This window comes from Homo sapiens, chromosome 13, assembly GCF_000001405.40.
Source record: "Homo sapiens chromosome 13, GRCh38.p14 Primary Assembly".
NCBI lineage: Eukaryota > Metazoa > Chordata > Mammalia > Primates > Hominidae > Homo > Homo sapiens.
Genome location: NC_000013.11, coordinates 77,211,417 through 77,233,894, shown reverse-complemented (window position 1 = coordinate 77,233,894; position 22,478 = coordinate 77,211,417). Strand labels below are relative to the sequence as shown.

General features: G+C 35.1%; 1 protein-coding gene across 1 annotated transcript in view; it reads left to right on the top strand.

Moving 5' to 3' along the window:
• The window catches only part of MYCBP2 (MYC binding protein 2), a 282,438-nt gene that overhangs the window by 93,200 nt on the left and 166,760 nt on the right, over positions 1–22,478 (top strand). Inside the window, exons 18-22 of the mRNA NM_015057.5 lie at positions 632–739; positions 8,341–8,460; positions 9,363–9,444; positions 15,938–16,055; positions 21,735–21,939. Of these exons, the coding sequence (NP_055872.4) occupies positions 632–739; positions 8,341–8,460; positions 9,363–9,444; positions 15,938–16,055; positions 21,735–21,939 (633 nt within the window). The remainder of the gene's footprint in view (positions 1–631; positions 740–8,340; positions 8,461–9,362; positions 9,445–15,937; positions 16,056–21,734; positions 21,940–22,478) is intronic.

Genomic DNA, 22,478 nt, shown 5'->3' with positions numbered 1-22,478 from the left:
CTCTCTCTCTCTCTCTCGTTCTCTCTCTCTCTCTGTGTGTATACATATATCTATATGCAGAATATAGACATTTTTGTTTTGTTTTTGATCATCTGGTTTTCTTAACCTCTATTTATGATTTGTAGTAAACTCGGTAACATTTTTATTTTGGTTTTGTAGCAAGATTAATACAAATATTAAACCTGGAAGAGCTTGTTAAAACTTAATGGTTAATTTAAAAATTAGTTTTTATGTTTCAATGGAAAAGATATCTGTCTTCAACGAATACATGGTTTACTGACTTTGAATATATATGATATTAAAAAAGTATTTGTAAGATAATTTGATTGATTTAAATTGAACTTCTTGATTATCTATTTGAGACTATTAGTAACTACACAATAATTTTATGAGTATACAAGACGGGTTTTGTACTTTATAAATTATATTTAAGATATTAACTTTTATGTGAAATGGTGATTAGGTTATGGGTGGGGGTGGGGGGCTGGAGTGGGGAAATTGGAAGAAAAGTATAATGTCCAAAACCGTTAAGAATAAATTTTTATGCTTTTTAGTTTGAATTATTTTTTGTTCATTATAGTGTTTTCATTTTGTGAGTTTTTCTATGCACATACAAAATGTTTCTCCTCAGGCCCCCTTGTATTTGCTGGTCCTATTTTTATGAACCATCGAGAACAGGCTCTAGCCAGACTCAGATCCCATCCAGCACAGCTAAAGCATAAACGGGACAAGCACAAAGGTATTTGGTCTTCCTTATCACCTAGGTGGGATACTTTCCCAATTTCTTCCACTCATTTGAATTTTGTCTCTGGGAAAATGCACAAACCTGATTCTTCTACTTTGCTTCTATCATGATGTAGCCTGAGGAGAAAGAACATTCTGAAAGTGATACCGTTTGTCAGTGACTGTCATGCTTCTTGTTTTTTTGTTGTCGTTAGCTTTCATAAAGGAGATATTTTACAATATATCTTTTCCTTGTCCATTTCTTTTCAAATTTCAAAAAGTTAAGGGAAGGTGGAAAAAATAATTATTGCTTTCTGTCTTACATCCTTTATTATTTGCTCTTTAATGACTGTGATCTGGCCTTTTACAATTCTTTTTTGAATGCTGTTTATATGCTTTAGGATAAACAATATTACTAAATTCAGTATATTAAATGATGATAATAAGACTGCCATTACACTTTTCCACTGTTTATTAATTAAGTTTATATAAACAACAAATGAATATACAAATATTTGATGGTTGTGGGTTAAGTAGAGATAAGTGCAAGCAAAGCACGAATCATGAAGACTTTCTCTAGTCCCTGGTGATGGTCAGAGGGCTATCCTAGTCTGTGAGGAAGTAGGAATCTAGCTCGGTGTTGTCCTTTGAGATCTCAGAGTTCTGGGTTAATTAAATATATTCTTAAAGCATGCTTATTTTCTTGTAAACCACAAATTATGGGTCAGCTAAGATCAGGAAAGAATTTAATACAAGGAATTTATAAATTTATATAAAATTTTTGCCTTGTATCCTGGCCTTTGAACCAGTGTTCTTCCTTAGCTAGCACAACTTAAAACTCCCATTTTCTTAAATGCCTAAGATAGGTCCTGCAAAATAGAATAGGAAGTTTTAAAAACATGCTTTCCATGTAGACAAATTAATCTAATTAATGTTTGGATCCTTTTCTTTTTTTTGCTGCAAAATTGTCATAGTCTAATTTAAAAAAATTTCATAGGCAATATAGTATAATCCACTTTATTTTTATTTGCCTCTTTCAGTCTGTCAGTTTGCCACTCAAAACAAAAACATAAACAAAATAGACAAAACTCATCTTTAGTAAAGGTGTAAATAGAGCACAACTTAAGATATACTCTGCAGAAATAAAAATAGTGTTTTAAATCTAATGCAATTAACCACAGTAAAATTTGTGATTACTTTATTTACTGAGTGCTCTAACAATGCCATAAATATTTAAGGAATTTTCAACCTAAGACAGCTGATTCCAAAAAGAAAAGATACATATATAAGGAATAATATTTGGGGTATGCAATGAAATTGTTATTTGCCAGAATGTCTGATCTTTTATGATTTCTACTATGTCACAATTAGAACAGATTTTTTCAGTTTCTTTCTTCCCCCAAATATATGAAAGTGAAGTTTTCCCAATAGTTTAACTGAGGTTAAATATTCACATTTCATGAAACAGTTTAAAACCTTTTCAGCTCCATGTTAGTATCTCATGGACAAGTATCTTTACCCTTTCCAGATTTTTAAATGAAACGTTAAATGAAAACCAAGGTTACATATTTAAAGCAAACTTTTCCCAATGTCACATAATGATTGGCTATAGAAATTATTCAGTGAGGCTGGGCGCAGTGGCACATGCCTGTAATTGCAGCACTTTGGAAGGCTGAGGGGGTGGATCACTTGAGGTCAGGAGTTCGAGGCCAGCCTGGCTAACATGGCGAAACCTCATCTCTACTAAAAATACAAATAATAATGATAACAATAATAAGCCCAGTGTGGTGGCACATGCCTGTAATCCCAGGTACTCAGGAAGCTGAGGCATGAGAACAATAATCACTTGAGCCTGGGAGGCAGAGGTTGCAGTGAAAAAACAAGTTATTCAATGATAGCTAGTCTTCAAGTTTGCTTGTCATGGGGTTACTTTATAACAAGTTTCTTTGTATACTTGTAACCACTCTGTAAGGACCTACTTTGTAATATCACAGTGTAGGACCAGTTTTATTGGATTTTAGGGTTTTATAGAGTGAGATAGTTTTATCTTTTTACTCCCCAAATACATTTACAATGCAAATAATAATTTATCAATTGGTACCCTATTTTTTTGTGAAGAGTATTAATTTACTGCTCACTAATTTCCCTCCAGCCACTAACCATTTACACTCACTGTCTTGTCATTTAATTATCTCTCCATTCACTGCTTTTACTTTTACGACATGTTGAACATCCCTAATTTGAAAATTCGAAATGCTCCAAGATCTGAAACTTTTTGAGCACCAACATGAAGCCCCCAAGTGGGAAATTCCACACCTGACCTCCTGTGACAGGTTGCAGTCCCAGCACACAGCTTATTCAGTGTCCTAAAGTGAAAGCAATCCTCTCAGCCCTCTTCAGCTATGATAAAGCTTTTCCATGCACAGCATGATGGTGACGCCAATCACAGTTTGTCTACGTGGGTGGCTGGGTGGCTGAGGTACCTTTGCTTTCTGATAGTGCAGGGATACAAATTTTCATGCACCAAATTATTTAAAATATTGCATAAAATTATCTTTCGGCTATGTGAGTAATTTGTATATGAAATATCAATGAATTTCATGTTTAGACTTGGGTCCCATCCCCAAGATATCTCATAATGTATATGCAAATATTCCAAAATTTGAACAAACTCCAAAATCCAAAACACTTCTGGTCCCAAGCATTTCAAATAAGGGATGCTCAACCTGTACATATTTTCAGTCTTTTAATAAGTATTTTTTCTACATATATTTTTCTCTTCACCTTACCCAGTTTATCTTCTAGTTTATCTACTGAGAAGTTTATGGTATTGATTGCTATGTTCTATCCTACATTTAATTATGTTGGTACAAATTATAGGATGGTAATAGTTAAAATTTTTTAGACTGTGACTTTTTTGTGAGGGTGTAAGGAGAGTAAGAACTGTGGATTTATTGTTAACAGGACTAAGTTCTAAGATGGAAAGTTGGAGAACTTCTGGGTGATTGGAGAAAATTCAGAGAAGGTCAGAATTCATCCTATACAGGCAGATATTGACTAAAGGCAAAGCAGAGTATATAGACTGAATCAATAAGTAAAATTCCATATAAAATACAGTAAATTATTCTAAAATGTGCCTATAAACTATATTCGAAACAGAATTAACATTTGTTTCAGCTATTCAGTACCTTACACAGAAAAATGTGTTAATAGTGTACATAGTTAGGAACATCTGAATTGTTCTAGAGATAGTCCTAAAATCTATTTTAAAATGACTGATTTGAAAATCTGAAGGCACACTGATAAACATCTGAGTCTATTTTACTCTTACTTTCTGTTTGGAAATGGTGCAGTGTGATGAAAATATTATAGCCTTTGGAATTAGGCTTCAATTTTATTTCTGAATTTGTCATTTACTAGAACTACATGGCTGTGCAAAATGTCTTAATCTCTTTGGCTTCAGTTTTCTTATTTTAAAAACAAGAATAGTAATTCTTAACTGATTGTGTTGCTATGAAGATTAAAATATATGTGTGTAGTCTTTGCACACCCACATATGTAGTCTTTGCACATATAAATCCTCCATGAATACTAGCTTTAATATTTTGAATTGAATTATTTGTTTTCTCTTTCAGAATTATCTTAAAGGTACAATATTTGAGATTTATTAAATGCATAGTTTATTTTTACAAAGGATTTAAGGTTTCAACCATTTGGTGGTGGTAAAATGCATGAGCCTTATTTATGATTAAACTCTAAATTTGTCCTACCATTTATGATTTTGGGCTGGTTACTTAACCCCTTAACCCTTCAAGCCTTAGTTTTTTCATCTGTAAGATGGACAAAGAATACCTATATTATCAGATTGCTTTATTCATTAAAGAAAGTAACAATAGTAAATATTGATTGAGCACTTTTCATATTTTATTTAATTCTCATAGGAACCTGATGAGTTACATATCATTGTTGCTATATTATAGATAGGAAAGCTAGGACCAGAAGGTCCAGTGTCCAGTTGTCATACAACTAGCAAATGAGAAGAGCCAAGATTCCAGTCCAAGTTCTTAAGTTCCAGTACTCCCAAGCACTCATCCACTGTGGTATTTAATTGTTTACAGTGTTCAGTTAGCACACAGCAAGTGCTTAGTAAATTGCAACTACTTTTGTCCTTGCTGATTTGTTTTAATGATTTTGCTCCAAGTACTCACTGTGTTCTGTGGTAGTTTCTGTTATATGCATGACTGTAGGATTACCCTCCAAAAGTATAGATTTTAGTAAAAATTAAAATTAGAAGTTAGAGTCCCTTAGATACTGAACCCTCTTTTTTCTCTGTGTATACAAATATGTGTATATAATTATATATAATGTGTACATACATATAATATTTTAGTTACATAGTTGCCAAGGCTTTGTAGCTACTGTAGTTTCAGTGTTACATGGTATACACACACACACACACACACACACACACACACACACAACATATTCATCTTAGGGAAAATACAGATGTGCTCATACTTAAATGGCCAATTATAAGATTATTCACATCTGTCAATTTTTTATTGACAATGTTTAATTTTTTATATAGATCTAAGCTTTGGTCTTATTGCTGCTCATTAACACTTTACTGAATAATGAGCTTGAACAGATTTTTTTTTTTTTTTTGAGACAGGGTCTCACTCTATCACCTAGGCTGGAGTGCAATGGCATGATCACGGCTCACTGCAGCCTTGACCTCCCGGGCTCAGGTGATTCTCCCACCTCAGCCACCCAAGTAGCTGGGACTGCAGGTATTCACCACCACACCCAGCTAGTTTTTTGTATTTTTAGTAGAGACAGGGTTTTACCATGTTGCCCAGGCTGGTCTTGAGCTCCTAGGCTCAAGTAATCTGCCTTTCTCAGCCTCCCAAAGCCCTGAGATTACAGGTGTGAACCACCATGCCCAGCTTGAGCAGAATTAATCTTGCTGAATTCACTTGCTGGTTCTTGAATTTGGACTAAATTTTTGGCCACTTATTAAGTGCCTTTTTTCTTTGATAAACTTTGGTTAATGTCTGAGTTATAGGAATTATACTCAATTTTTTGATATCAAATACCATATACAGATATATATATAAAATATATATTTTAATTCTGCCACTGCTGCTGATAAAGATTAAGACCCTCATCTCAATTTTTTTACTTGTAAGATTTTCACTGTCTATAATAATTGAGAAGTTGTTTTGTACAGTTACAGTTTGTTTCAATGAACAAAATGTTTCTAGTATTATTTTGACCTCTAAATAACAGCTGCTACTTTTTTAGTCATTGTGGTTGTATTCACTAAATTACCAACCTTTAAAAATAATCTCCTTCCTTGATGCTATGTCTCTATTGTGGGATTTATGCCTATATTTAATCTCCTACTCAAGGGAGGAGACAAAATGCTAAATTCAAAGGTAAAACCTTATAACTAGGCATCAATACATTTATATAAAGTGGAATGATACTTGAAATGTTTAATTAAGTCTGGCAGAATCATATGAACACAATGTATTTTCTATGTTAAATCTCATTTGGTTTTAATAATTAGACATTTTTACCAATTGAGATAAAGCCGTAAAATTTCTTTACATCTGGCGTCTTATTAAATAGCCTTTGGAAGATATGTATTTGTGTGTGTGTGTGTGTGTGTGTGTGTGTGTGTGTGTATGTGTGTGTGTGTGTGTAGGCTTTTGCATATATTTTACCATTCCACTATCTTTCCAACATGAGGAGGCTTTGAACTGAGTATATTTTATTTTGGATGGAGTGAAACTAAATGTTGTTGGTTTTTTTTTTTTTTTTTTAGTCCATCCATTCTTTGATTTAATTTGGCAAACCCACATTAGATAATTTAGCAGAAGAGGAATTATATCTTCATCCTATTATAGTAAAACCTCTCACTAATTCTGAATTTATGATATTTGAGATGCAGTATTTGTGATCTTTTTTGAGTAAAAAATTCAAAATAATTTCTTCCTCTGAATTTTCAGGGTCATACTTATAAGGGGAAACCTGTCTAAAATCACTAGCTTTTCAAACCAAGGGCTCAAGAAATGAAGGATTCCTTCAACGTGCCTTCAGCCTCTGGGTCCAGCAGTTAATTCTTGTATGTTAAAGGACTTTTATGTTTATGGTACATTTTAAATGTAATATTGGCCTATTTTGAAATATAATGTAGGTAACCACACTCTATTTATTGTAGCATTTAGTTTAATCTGTAATCTGTACTGCTTGAAGGTAACAAAACTGAATTTTTACTTCAGTGTTCTGTATGATTAAGACGTTTCCAGTAAGCCACACAGGCCTACCTGTTCTATGTTATTCCGAATTAGTGAGGTTTTACTGTCCTAGTGTCGTAAAGAGTTTCAGTCTTCTTGAAATTATAGGCATTTAGTTACGGAAAGGAAAGTAATAATGTAGGTAGATTTTGTCTCACCTGGATGTTACTAAAGGTTAGGTAAAAAAAGAATAAACACAAAATGATTTAATATTATTCTGTTTAACATTCTAAAATGCACAATGAAAATACAGGATAGAAAGTGTGTGTCTGTAGATTCACATATGTATCTTCATATAATACACACTTGTTTAGAGTTGCTATACCACTTGAGAGTGGTTTAGACTAGTTGAACTTGTGAAATTCCTTCCAGATTTACATTTATTCTGTGTACAAGGAATTTGAATCTTGATGATATAAAGGTCATATGTTAGTGATGTATAGAAGTACATTGTGATTAGAAAAAGTAAGTTGTTGTTATTTACACATTCCAAACAAAAATTTTTATATTCTGGAATGTGGTTTTTGATGCTATGGTTAGATTGTTGGAAAATTCAAAGTTGGATTGCAAAAGCCAAGGGTAAAGAAAAGGCTTAAAGCAAGCTCAATGAAGGAAATTGTGAGAAGGGAGGAGGAAAGAAGGAGTGAAAGCAGAAAAAAGGTTTGGTTGAGGGTAGTGATTGGGGACAGGGAGAAAACCACAAAGCAATATGGCTGAAGGTGATGGTGGCACAGGAAACATGAATAAGAATAGGCCATTGAACTGCAATATATTGAATAAAGCTCTTTGGTCTTTATACATTTTGAAAAGTTCAGTTGAGTTTCAAAATACTTATGGGCAGTGTAGCCTTTCTAAGATCTATTTAGGAAATCTAAGTCACTTGTGAATCCATTAGCAATTTTTTAAAAATGGCTAGTACTAACAATATCACTAAGTTTAAAATAATTGTTAAATGACTTTGCATGCAGTAATTTTTTATGGAAACTAAATTTTCCCATATAAACTGTTACATTTTAAATTTTGTTATTTCTATAACTTAATGACCCGTTTATTACATAAGGTTTTATCCATAACCAGATCTTATCTCTGTTTTTATTAATTTAGTGATATTTGCAAATGGAAGTATATAGTCTATCTTTTCAAAATTCCTTCTTTGCAGGTAGATTCTTGATCTATCACTTCTAACAGCTACAGATTCTTCTTGCTTGTTCCTTTTAACATTTTTCTCTTGTTCTTCCATAATAAACTGATTTAAATTTTTATTTTGAAGATGAATAATGGCTTAATCATAATTCACAAATTATAACACTTGCAGATGGAAGTGGAGAAAGAGGCGAAAAGGATGCAAGCAAAATCACAACATACCCTCCAGGCTCTGTGCGATTTGACTGTGAGCTCCGGGCAGTCCAAGTCAGCTGTGGATTTCACCATTCAGGTAGCGGCTGGAACTTTAGGGTATAACTGCGTTTTTACAATTGTGCTCAGTAACTTATTTCTTCAGATTTGATGAACATAGCCTGTTAACTGTGTGTTAAAAGCTGTAGCGTGGCAGTCTCTCAAATCTGTAAGACCTTTGTATTTATTACAGAATCTCTTTAAACAACTATGGCATGATGGAACAGGTACTTGTCTAGAGATCTAACTTCTAGTCTGTCTTCCTGTGGACTTCTTTTATAATTCAAGACAGTCTGGAAGATGAAATAATCCTTTAAATCTCTTTCAGTTCTAGAATGCTGTGGTTTTTGTAACATGTTCCCATATTTTGTTAATGTTCAGTGATAAATGTATGTCAACAAATTTACTTTCTTAAAATGTAGAAAATAATTAAATTCTTAGTAAATTATTGGCATTTGGGTTAGCTTTTGCTGTACTGTTCAACCTTTATAAAAACAAAAATGTTAAATTCCTTCCTTGAAGATTATTTGATAAGGTATTAACAGACATTAAAGTTCTGCTGTTTCATTGATGTTGTACGTAATTGTGCAGACCTCCTATCCTAGATAGGAGAGAACAATATTTTATATGTAGTTACTCATTATTAAGAAGATTTTACAGTTGACCTGAACCAGTGTGTTAATAAGAATTAATGTTATTAAATGGCATTTATACGAATTTTTAAGTGTGTATTATGAAAAAATTATACATTTATATGACCTACAAAAATATTTTTCAGAACTAAAATTAATTTCTCATTAAATACAAATTTGTCCTTCAGTTACCTATTTTTAATGGTTCTATAAATCTTAAATAGTGAAAATTACACTGCTTTTAGTATAGTTGTGATAGAAATGTAAAATGCATATAATGAAAAAATAAAGCTGTGTGTTTTGGTTGCAGTGGTTTTAATGGAAAATGGAGATGTCTATACATTTGGTTATGGGCAGCATGGGCAGCTAGGACATGGAGATGTCAACTCCAGGTACTTGCTAACTTTTCATTTGAAGATCCAGAGTTATTTTTTCTTCTGTTTTCTTTTCCTTCTTTTTTCTTTCTTTTCTCTTTTTAAGTATATATTTCTAGAATTAAAATAATATTATACCACTGCTTTGCAAAGTGTGGCCCATGAATTATTGGTGGTTTCTGATCTTATGGTTGAGTGCTTTTGTAGAGATAAAGGATTTTGTAGTTTCAGGAGAAAAGCTGATATATATTTTAAATAGGAGAGTGATTATGATTGTCACAAAATATCACTATATTCTTAGCAATTATCTTTTTAAAGGCTGTGCATGGCAATAGAAAAATAGTGAATTGTATTTTTAAAAAATGTCAGCAATGGATTCAAACATATTCCTGATGTCTGTTTTGAAATTTTGGTCTAATAACATGCAGTCATTGAAGCTTTTGAATAATTTTTGGACAGAACCTATTGGTCTCTCTGATTAACTCTTTTGACTTATTGCAAATAGTAGTAGAGAGACTGGTGGTAATTTCCTAATATCCCTACTTCATTTGTTTTAGTTTTAGTTTTAGTTCGTGACATGATCGTGCAGCTAAAGATTCCCTTTCTCAGCTTCCATTGCAGCAGGATGTGGCCATGTGAACTTAAGTGATAGGTGCCACTTTGGAATCTTGCTGTTAAAGGGAAAGGGTGTACCTTTCCATTTGTCCTTCTCTCTTCCCAGCTTGCTGGCTGGAATGAATATGTGGAAGCAGAAACTAAAGAAGTCATCACAGAGATAAGTTGGAGACTGTGTACTGAGAATGGCAGAATCATAAGATGGGAATAGGCTGGGTCTCTGACACCATGAACTGCCTCATCAGCTTCTTAAATTGCATGCTTCTTGCGTGAGAAATAAACTTGTATCTTGAAGTCCCTCTTACTTGTCTTTCATTACAGCAGCCGAGTTTGTATTCTACGTAATGCAGTCAGAATACTTTTGGTCAAAAGTAATAGAAAATCCATCTTTATTAGTTCAGGTCTTCCAGAAAGCAGATGCCAAGACAGGATTAGATATGCAAAGAATTTATTAGATACATGTAGTTTTGACCCTATGAAAGGAGAAAGAGAAGGAAGAATCGGGTAGGAGTCTAGGTTCCAGCATAACATTAAGAGAGTTTTAGCCAGGCCAGTGATGTGTCCCCAAGCTGAGGATACCTTTGGAAGGGTCCTGCATTGGGCAGGAATAGACCAACATTCATACCTTCACCATGTTCAGTCACAGCTGGTAGCACCCCAGGGGACGAATGTCCTCGTGCATCCAAAGGGACAGCACCTGAGGCTGTTATAATAGTTAACTCTGCTCTCTGTAGCAGATTGTCTTGAAGGAGATCTGAGTGGTCTGTGTCTGTGGTTGTCTCACCATGGAAACAGGAGTATTTATGAAGTCTGGAAAGATAGAGAGCAGCTTCAAGCCAGACTTCACTCAGCAATTCACTTAGCTGCAAAAACTTACCTTTTGACCTTCTACTCTGCCTTATTCTTCCTCGCAGTCACAGTGTATATGCCAGAATCAAGGGGACTTCTATGGTTTCTCCTTTACATACAGTGAAAGAAAGAGAACTTACCTTCACATAGTCATTAAATAAAATTCAAGGTTGTCACTGTGTCTTGAACTCACTCTACTATTGTGGCAGGGATGGAATTCTGCCATTTACATGGTAAAGATTAGTGATTCTTAACCCTGGCTGTATATTAGAATTACTTAGGGAATTTGAAAAAATATCATATGTGGATTCTACATCCAGCATTTCTGAGAGATGTGTGTGTTGAAAGGCTTGTGGGTGGGACAGGGGTGGGGAGTGGTCCTTGATAGGATGCCAGCATCAGAGTTTTTTCTAAAAGGTCCCCAGATTCTATATGTATCCAGGATGAGAACCACTCTCTACCCTTCGAGCTGAGGCAGGGTCAGATCTGTGGGCACTGCATAAAAAATGGCAACAAAAGGGAATGTCCTGAGTTATGTTTATGAATGTTGTTGCTAATGATAAGAGACGATTGAGATATCATTGAGTTGAACTTCTTATTAAAAACACAACTGAAACATAAAATTGATACTACTATCAAGAGGTTTGTAAAACTATCACAATCATAAATATTTAATGACTAATATCATACTTGCAAAGAGCAAAAGATGTGTTTGGCAGAATTACTTTATCAGATGTGTCTGCTGGATATGACATAATACCAACAGTGTTGAGCAATTACTGTCACAGGTGTTAGATGCCAACTGATATTTTGCTTTGCAATTGAGTAACATTACTGAAATGCAGAGGCTGAATCTGGGTAGTAATTACAGTTGGCCCTCTGTACCTGTGGGTTCTGCATCTGTGGATTCAATCAATCTTGACAGAAAACATAGTTAGGCCTACGATAATTGCATCTGTACTGCACATGTACAGATGTTTTTGTCTTGTTATTATTTCCTAAACAACAGAGTATAACAACTATTAACATGGTGTTTACATTGTATTAGGTATTATAAGTAATCTAGAGATGTTTTAAAGTATACAGGAGGATGTGTAGTTTATGTACAAATACTATGCCAATTTATATAAGGGATTTGAGCATCCCTAGAGTTTGGTAGCTGCAGGGGATCCTGGAACCAATTCCCCATGGATGCTGAGGGATGACTATAACCTGTGTGGGGAAGAACGTGGCAACTTTTTGTTCTGTTTCTCATTTGAGAGTTGGGACACAGAAGAAGAGGGTTTATTTGTATCATCGTGGCTATTGTTGTTGTTATTTAGCTGGTGGTTATTTTGTGAGCCATAGAAACTGGGAAAGGTGCATTGCAGTTAGATAAGATGGGGTCTCAGTCATGTATGCAGCAAAGAGGGCACTTCACAGAAAATAATTGGCAAATAGTATTTCATGGTCTTGCCAGAGTGGAAAGGGAAGTAGTGAAAAGCATGGCCATGTTATAGTCAGGTTATGTTATCTTACTGTGCACTTGGCACTCAGAAGAATGAGCAGCATGAGCACAACATCCTTCCACACCACACTGAGGTGTGTTGGCCGCTGAGAGGGAAGGTGTTCATGTCAGCTTTTAAAATGAAGAGATTACCTAAAAACATTACTTCGTGGTCCTGATTATACCAGTGAACACCATTCTTCGATTCCCAAGTCTGAAGAGATATAGGGCAGTTTCAGGCCAGACTTCCTCAGGTAATAATATTGTAGCAATATGCTCAATATTTTAAATTGCTTGAATTTATCGTCTTCATGAAATACGATAGCATTTAATGTTGAAACAAAATATCAGGGTTTCTTATGAAGATTAAACATTGGTAGGATCTACACAGTGGTATAGTAACTGGTAGATGCTACATAGTCATCGAACCTGGAACTGTAGAGGCAAGGTTCAGCTCTTCACTTCTTACCAACCATATGACTATAATTTCTTAAGATTAAACACTGGTGGGATTTGTTTTAACTGCCCAAAGTTGTTCTTTTCCAGCATGGAATGTTTTGGTCCTTGTTCCATTGAGTGGTAACTGAAAGACTGATTACATGAAGTGTGGGCAGAGCTACAACGGATAATGCAGTAGTCATACCTATATACTGTGCCTAGTGGATTAGATATTCATCAAGACCGCTTCAGTCTTAAGCACTCAGTTACCCTGTCTGTCTGGACTTTTGTGGAACTTGGAAAGTAGCAACCAAGAACTCTGTTATTAATTCAGAAAGGAGTTGATTATGTCTATAGAGGAACAATCTTGGGAGGAACAAAGCTTCTATAGCATATGTATTAACTACAACAAAGCAAAACATTTACAGATAGTTGAAATAAAGGGTTACAGTTGGAGAATATGTTTGAAAAGTCTCTAGTAATCAAGAGCTGTTAACTGGAATTTACTATATAGCACACATTAATAATGTGTTGTTTAAGATCAATATTGTGGTATGCATGATAATGAAGATGGAAAAGTGTTATTGATATTCTCTTTATTTAATGTGTTATATTGCCAGAATGACTGAGTTCAGTCTCTAGGTTGGGTCCTGATTCTGTCACTTGGTAGCTATATGATCTTGGCCAGGTTACTTAATCTTCTTGTGTCTCAGTTTCTCAAGTTTAAATATCCATAATCTGATGATACTTTCTTCTTCTGTGATGCAGCCCTACTTTATTTCCCTTTGACTTTATGCCCCACAGCCCTCTACTTTTTTACTCTTTTTTCACCCTTTTTTTAACTTTATTTCCTACTCAAGTTAAAGACTGTTGCTTAATTTCTTCACCTATACTCTTACCAGTTTCTTCAGTTTTCCCACTCTCTTGGTCGTGGTGCTAGGACATGATAAAACCGCAAACATGAATCAATCTTAATATTTCCTATGCCTATACTTAGGCTTCTGGAAGGTAAGAAATCACCATACCTATGCAGATTGATACTTAATTTCCAGATTCAACCAGTTCCTGTACAATGGTCATTAATCCTCCTGTTGTGTAGTATTGAACTATTTGACTTAATACCTTTTGAGAGTTTGATGAAAGACATGGGGTCTCTATGAAAAATACAAGAATATACACTTAAAAATTTGCTTGCAAATTTAGGAGATCTTTTGAAGCTCACTCATGGACTTCCTAGAAGTCCTTTATATCTGAGTTGAAAACTCCTGCTCTCGGTATGTATCTATTCCATCTACCACCACACCTTTTCTCGAATCTTCAAACTCTCCACTCACCTGTTTCCTCCTTTTAGCATAGGATCTCCATGTACATTGCAACAGATGTAAGAAATTATTCAGCCCACCAACCCTGCAAACCTACTTCCATCCATACCACTTCTCTGCTTCTTTCCTCATGTTACAGTTAAAGAGGAACCTGTTGTGTCCTTGCTATGAAACCTAGCTGTCTTTTCCTTAGAGATCTATTTCTGTTTCCTGTCTTCTCTCTAACCTTTGTCTTTAGCGTCTTTATTTTGAGTCACCTTTTAAACTTCCTCAAATCTCTTATCATTAAAAAAAAAAAATCCTCTCCTTCAGCTTCATTTTTCCTTTAGCTGCTGGCTCTCCTTTCTTTTTCCCTTTAGTGCTGGGATACTTAGAGCTACTTTGTGTATTCTCTGACTCCTTATCTGCTGCATTGTGGTGCCTGCTTCCACCAAAGAGACCTCCTTCTGCTAAATCGAGTGGTTAGGTGTATGTCTCCTTAGAGCATTTGGCATGTACTTTATTTTCCACGCTTGAAACCTACTCCTCCAATGAGTCTCCTTGAGTTCTTTCTTTCTGTGTGGTTTATTCTAGATGTCTGTGAGCTGTTCTTCCTCGGTCTGTATCTAAAATGTTAGAAGAGACTCATAAGGGAAATTAGGATCTCTTCTTTTCTCTCTCAAAGAGTCTTCCTAGATCTCATTCATTCTCATAGCTTAAGTGAATATTACCACTATCTACTCTGTTGCTTAAGCAAAAAAAATCTTCCTTGCCCCATATCGATCATCTGCCAAGTTTCATCAATTCTGTTCCTTACATAGCTATCAAAGTCACCATCTCTTTCACTCTGCACTGCTCCTAGTTAAGGCCTTCATCATAAATTACCCAAACTACTATATAATTTTTAAAATTTAAAGTGTCATAATTACATTTCTCAAAAGCAGAGCTCTCCTGCTATGTGTGGACTATTTCTATAATGGTTGTGTTTCTAATTACAGATAATGGTTACTAAAAATGGCTGTTAAAAGTAGGAAAGGATACTAGGATGTCATTTATCATAATAGTTACTGTTCATTAAGTGTTAACTGTGTGCCAGACGCTGATCCAAGTACTTGACACGTATGGGCCTCTTTACTGTTCACAGGAACTCTGTGGGGGTAGACACCGTTTGTTAGTATTCTCCATGTGATAAAGAGGAAACTGAAATACAAAAAGAATGAAAAACTTGTTCGAAGTCTGGTCGCATTATTATTAAGTTGGGGAGCCAGGATTCACAACCAGCCAGTCTAGCTTTAAAGCCTGAGCTTGTAGTCACTGCTCTAATGCCTCTCATGATACTGTGTTTTGACTCATTAACTGTGATTCTAAGATCTAAACTTATAGCTTAGTGATAAAAGTTAGAAAAGATGATCATAAAATTATTTCATCTAGTTCCTGGATTGAATTTCTGTTAAGGCATTACATGATTTTTATTTCATCCAATAATTATTTATAAAGATCTCTAACAGGCCAGTCAGTATACAGAGTACCAGATTAAAAATAAATGTAGCACCAGTTTTTCAGAAATTATTATGTGTCTATAATTAGGGTAATTACATTTAGAAGATCTTTTTGATGATCTCCTTAAAGTCAGCAACTGTCTTTTTCATCTTTGTTTACCTAGTACCTGGAATGGAGATAGGCGTTTAGCACTTAAATGTTTACTGAATATTCTTATGAGTGCCTTTTATCTTTCCTACTCCTTGTTGCATTGCTTACTTATTGTTTTTATTTTAGTTGAGTTTTGTAAGAAATTGACTTACTTTTTTTTTTTTTAACCTAGGGGATGTCCCACTCTTGTTCAAGCATTGCCAGGCCCTAGCACACAAGTCACTGCAGGCAGCAACCATACGGCAGTACTTTTAATGGATGGACAGGTCTTCACATTTGGAAGTTTTTCTGTAAGGAATTTTTAAAACATTAATAATATTGCATTATACCATTGCCTTATAATTTGTCTATATTAGCTCTTTTTTCTGTTTCCAGAATATAATATAACAATTATATTATAATTGTTACATATGCATATTTCATGCCTTCATCCCCAACACACACTAAACCTGAATGATATTCTTTGAAGTAATTTTCCTCTCTAGCTCAGCATTAGAATTTATTGAATTTAACAGCTTTGTTAGAATTGGACATGTTTATTTCAGATTAAAGTCTTTTAAGCATTCAATAGAGCTAATTCTGTCATAGGAAAGGTTATTTCTCATCTAACTTGTAGAGATGAATTTTTCTTAACACATAGAACTATGCTATTTTGTAACCTTTTAAAAGCCTAGTTTTTTTTATTTGATTTGTTTAAAATTATACTTTCTTTTTTCCTTTTCCACCCTCTGAGTCTATCCGCCTGTCTGTTACATAGGCGCTTGTGCACATTCTCTCCCTCTCTCTGCACCAAAGCTTAAAGAGTGAAAATGCTCTAAGAATTTTGTGTAGTTTGGGCATAGTAGATATCAAGAAAAATCTTTGCGAGACTGTGCTAATACTCTTGTACCATTTCAGATGTGGATAATTACTAAGAACTCTTGAACCTAAGTGTCTGAGATGACATTTACAGCTTTTGATTTTTTAAAAACTGTAAATGTGTACTTAAAATATTTTATTTGAAAATGGTTTCAAACTTACAGAAAGATTGCACAACTAAGAACAGTGTGTAGAATATCTGGTTAGTGTCTTTAACCAGATTCACCTATTGTTAACATTTTGATCCAGCATTTGCTTTATTATTGCACATGTGGCTGTTCTCTTTCTCACACACGCAGTGTGTGTGTATGCACAAATGTGTGTGTGTACGTATGTATATAAAATATTTTTTTTTCTCAAATCCTTTGACAATGTCTTGTGTACATTATGGCCCGTTACCTCCTACATACTTTAGTTTGTATTTTGTGAATTGACCTAATAATTATTTTTTGGCATTTCTTTCCCCTCCAATCTAGGATCAGGCATTACATTTGCCTGTTGTGTGTCTTTAGTCTCCTTTAATCTGTAACATTTCTACAGCTATGTATTGTCTATTATAACATTGACATTTTTGAAGAGTATATAGTACTGTTTTGAAAAATAGAATCCTCTTCATTTTTGTTTCTTTGATAATGTCCTCATGTTTAGATGCAGGTTGTGCACCCAGGCCAAGATACTCTGTAAGTTATGTTGTGTTTGCCCTCACTGCATCACATCTGAAGGCTCAGAATGTCCATCTGCTCTTCATTGATTATGGACATTTTGATCACCTGATCAAATGTCTGATTTCTGTACTGTTTCTCCTTTGAAACTATAAGCAACCTGTAGGTTGACACTTTTAAGATGCCTGCTTCTCATCAAAATTTCCCCCTAGATTTAGCATCCATTGATCATTCTTTCCTGAGCTAGTCTTTACTATAATGTTTAAAAAATGGTGATTTTTTTCAACTCCAGTAGGCACTTGGCCTTTTACTCTAAGCAAGAGCCCTCCTTTCCTGTTTACTTGTTTTTCTACTTATTATTGGTATAGACTCAGGTATTTGTATTTTCTTCATTATCATCTTTAATTATTTGGGTGCCTAGATTATCTCCGATTTGGCCAGCAGTAGCCCCTTCAAGTTGGCTCCTGTATTCTTGTGACATGCCCCTTCATTTTTTGGAGTGCTTCCTTTCTTTCCAGCATAACAAGTTGTTCAGGGTTTATCTTGTACAGGCCCTGTATGACTGTCCTAGAATCAGCCATTTCTCCAAGAACCCTGATTCTTTTTAGTGGGGAATAGTATTAGACACTAACTGGGCACTAGAAGTGTTCATTGCTACAGGACGTCTTTGGATCTCTGGTATGCATATATTTATATGTCCACATATATGTATGTATTTTAGAAATCATAGGCCAGGTGTGGTGGCTCATACCTATAATCCCAGCACTTTGGCAGGCCAGTGTAGGAGGATCACTCAAGCCCAGGAGTTTGAGACCAGCCTGGACAACATAGTGAGACCCCATCTCTATTAAAAAAATTAGCTGGGTGCCGTGGCACATGCCAGTGGTCCTAGCTGCTCAGGAGGTTGAGGTAGGAGGATCACTTGAGCCCTGGAGGTCGAGGCTGTAGTGAGAGCTGTGATTCCATCATTGCCCTCTGGCCTGGACAGCAGAGCAAGATCCTGTCTCAAAAAGAAAGAAAAAGAACCCCACTGTGACTTCTACTTCCAATCCATTCCCACAAGGTTCTTTCTTACCTGTCCTGTTCTATATTTATGTACTTTCTTCCTCAGTAAGAATCTTTCCTCTCAACAATATCAATATATTTATTTCTCACTTAGTCCCCAGATATGTCTAAAATAGTTTTATATTTGCTTTGCCTGTACAAGTTCAAAAAAACAAACTCACTGAAAGGTCATTCTTGCTCTTTCCCCTCCCACCTGCTCCCCACCCCAAGTCTGAAGGTGTATAGTCAAGCACTGTCCATGAGTGGCCTGGATTCTCTCTCTCACTCCTTTCAGTGGAAATTGTGATTCCTTTGGAATAGAGTGGGGCTCATTTGTTTCAGTTTAAGATTCCCCTCACCCTATCCTTTGATTAAGTTTTATTTCATTTTTAAAATATATAGAACATTTACATGTTGCTAAAAATTAAGTTATACAAAAATTGTATACTCAAGAGGTGTCACTTCCTCCCATATCCTTGACATTCCTGCCTCCCCACACCTTTCATTCCATACTTGGAGGTAATGAATGTCATTGTTTTACAGTTTATTCTTCTTGTGTTTCTTCTTGTGAAGATATATAAGCATGCAGACACACTATTTTATATATATATACCTATATATGTATGTATGTGTATACACAGTTATGCACTGTATAACAGTATTTTGGTCAGTGATGGACTGCGTATGCTAAGGTGTTCCCATAAGATTATAATAAGTACTTTGACTATAACTTTTCTATGTTTACATGCAGAAATACTTACTAATGGGTTACAGTTGCCTACAGTATTCAGTACACCAGCATGCTGTACAGGTTGGTAGCCTAGGAGCAATAGGCTACACCATATCACCTAAGTATGTAGTAGATATACCGTCTAGGTTTGTATAAGTCCACTCTGATGTTCGCAGCATCACAGAATCACCTAATGACACATATTTCAGAACATATCCCTGTCATTAAGTGACATGTGACTGTACATAAATATATATATTTCCCCTTTCCCGTTTTTTAAAGGTAATAGCCTATATATGCTCTTTTGCACTTTGCTCTTTTCGCTTCAGCATCTCTCCTAGAAATCACTCCATATCAATTCATAAAGCTCTTCATTTTTTTTTTTACCTCCATGTAATACCCCATTGTGTGTATATATGATAGTTTATTCATTCAGTTTCTCATGTTTATATATTTACGTGGTTTCCAATACTTTGTAATGGTAGTAGTGAATATTGTTAGAGGTGTATCTTTGAGATAAATTCCTAGAAGTGAGATTACTGTGTTGAAGGTTAATGCCTATGTAGTTTTGTGAGATATTAACAATTCTCCTGTATTTTGCTTTCACACTAACGGTGTATGAGATTGCCTGTTTCCACAGAATTGCCAACAGAATGTGTTGTGGTACCTTTAATTTGTGCCAGTCTGATGGGTGAGGAATGGTCCTGCTTACTTCCAAGTTCCTTTGCCTTTAGTTGGTGCTCTGATCCTCAAAGTTCGGATCCATATTTAGTATTTTGGCATTGAAGGTTAACTTTCTTTTTGGGGGCATGTGTTTCCCTGTGCTTTTTCTAACTTCTTCACACGCCTCTGTCCTCCTTCTTAAGAACTTCCCTGTTCGTGCTTTGCACATGCTCAGGTTTGCAGTAGCCGGTGGGTGGAGAGAACTCTTGGAATTTGGCTCTTCTGCTTACAGGAAACATAGAGATCATGACACCCGCTGTCTCCTTCCACTGCTGAAGGTTTGAGTCACATATAGATTTGTTTGCACAGCATATTTTTGTGTCTTTTGAGGTGGTTATGTGAGTGATAAGATTTGACGTCAGACAGTCATTGTCCTCCAGTCCCAGCAGTCCTAGTTGTGAACTTTTATGAATTTAAATGTGGCTTATTTATAACCACATTCTGGTCCTTATGGGGTTGTCCAGGTATCTAACACATTTTTGGACTGCTTTTCTTCATATTAGTTGGTAGTAAGGGAATACATATTTATTTCAATAGTCAATGAAAAAGATAACTAATTTATTTTTCCTCCAAAAGCAGAATATATCCCTGAATATGATATATTTTGCTCACTATTTACTTTTTTTTTTCTTTTTGAGACAGAGCCTCACTCTGTCATCCAGGCTAGAATGTAGTGGCATGATGATCTCAGCTCACTGAAACCTCCGGCTCCCAGATTCAAGCAATTCTTATGCCTCAGCCTCCTGAGTAGCTGGGATTACAGGCCCATGCCACCACACCCAGCTAATTTTCGTATTTTTAGTAGAGACGAGGTTTCACCATGTTGGCCAGGCTGGTCTCAAACACCTGACCTCAGGTGATCCTCCCATCTCGGCCTCCCAAAGTGCTGGGATTACAGGCGTGAGCTACTGCACCTGGCCCCTGTTTACATTTTTGTGCTCTCTTATTTTTGTCAAAAAATAAGGACAGATCTTAAAAGAGTATGAGAAATAAATGTTGAGTGTTTTGGCTGCTTCTCTAATCATGTGCTTGCCATGTTTCCTTCCCTGGTTCTGTCCAGGGATTGAAGCTCAGTTGCTTCCACAGTTAGTTTGTGGCTGTGTTTTCTTGCTGTGCTACCTGGTGGTTGGATGAGAACGTGACCAGAGTGTTCGCAGTGCTCCAGGCTCCCTTGTTCCAGAATGCTGTGAGGGGAGAGAGGTCCCGAGCCAGGGGTGGAAGAATATCTATTGAGTCAATGTCAGCATTCTTTTATTCTTTTTCAGCTACAGGCTTACTAGTGAGAAACTTCCTATTACTTTTTAAATTAAACTCTTACCTGACCAGGTCCCTATAGAGAGCCATACTTTTAAACTGGTTAATAGTTATTTACTTAAAATATCATATCTTACCATTGATTGTGCTGTTTATTTTAAAACATAAATGAAATAATTTAGGGACATATCATGTGAAAACAACATTACATATTTTTCTAATTGTATTCACAGTTTCAGTATTTATTTTGGTCTTTTTACATGGATATTCTCAGATTATATGAGTTCAATAGTGACTTTCTTTTATACTATCAACTTACTATGTCAAAGTGACTTTTTAAATGAACAATTTGGAATACTAATATTTTAACATATTGTGTGTATTTGTCGTACTTTTCATTTAAATGTAGGTGAAGACAAAGTATTTTGGAGATACTTCTTGCGTGGAAAATATTTCAAACTTTTTTTTAAAAAATAATGCACTTTTTAAGACTTTCCAGGAATAATAGAAATTATTTTATTACTTTATAAATATTTGGTCCAAATTCTTACATATTGTATTTATTTTAAAAACCCAAACTAACAATTGGTGAAAAATAAGGTTTCATAGATTGATTTTTATCTACTGCCTCCTTAACTTTATGAAAATTAGATTGTTTACACAGCAATATTGCTAATATGGTTTATTTAATCTTTTAGAAAGGACAACTGGGCAGACCAATTTTGGATGTGCCATATTGGAATGCAAAGCCAGCTCCCATGCCTAACATTGGATCAAAATATGGAAGAAAAGCTACTTGGATAGGTGCAAGTGGGGACCAAACTTTTTTACGAATTGATGAAGCACTTATTAATTCTCATGTACTTGCTACATCAGAAATTTTTGCCAGTAAACACATAATAGGTAATACCAGAAATAAACAAATGCCCCTTCCAAACTCTTGTCTTGATTGATAGTAAATGGTTTATCTTTCCCTTTAATGAAATGTACTTTTGTAGCTTTTTGTTTTCTTTCTGCTCAAAGAAATTTAAACAAAGCCTGTAAATGTCTCCGTTTATATGTGTCTCTATGCTGAAAGAATGGAATAATTGGGAGATCTGGAAACCACAGTATTTGTGAGCTAGACAGTGGTAGAACTATAAACTAAATTCTAGTAGGATAAAATCCATATTAGAGTAAGAGAGTTTTATGCATTGTTTATTGCTAAATAAATGTTAGAAATTAATTTTTATGGGAGGTTATATAAATCCAACTTTGAAATTTCACGAAGACCAAGTTATCAATCTGTACTGTGTCCATGATACTGTGAATAATTATATAATAGAGTGGTATAGCAAGAGATTAGGAGCATGTGTTGTGGATTTAGACATCTTGAGGTTTTATTCCTAATTCTCCCACTTAAAGATTTTTTAATTACTTAGCCTCTTTTATTCTCTGCTTAT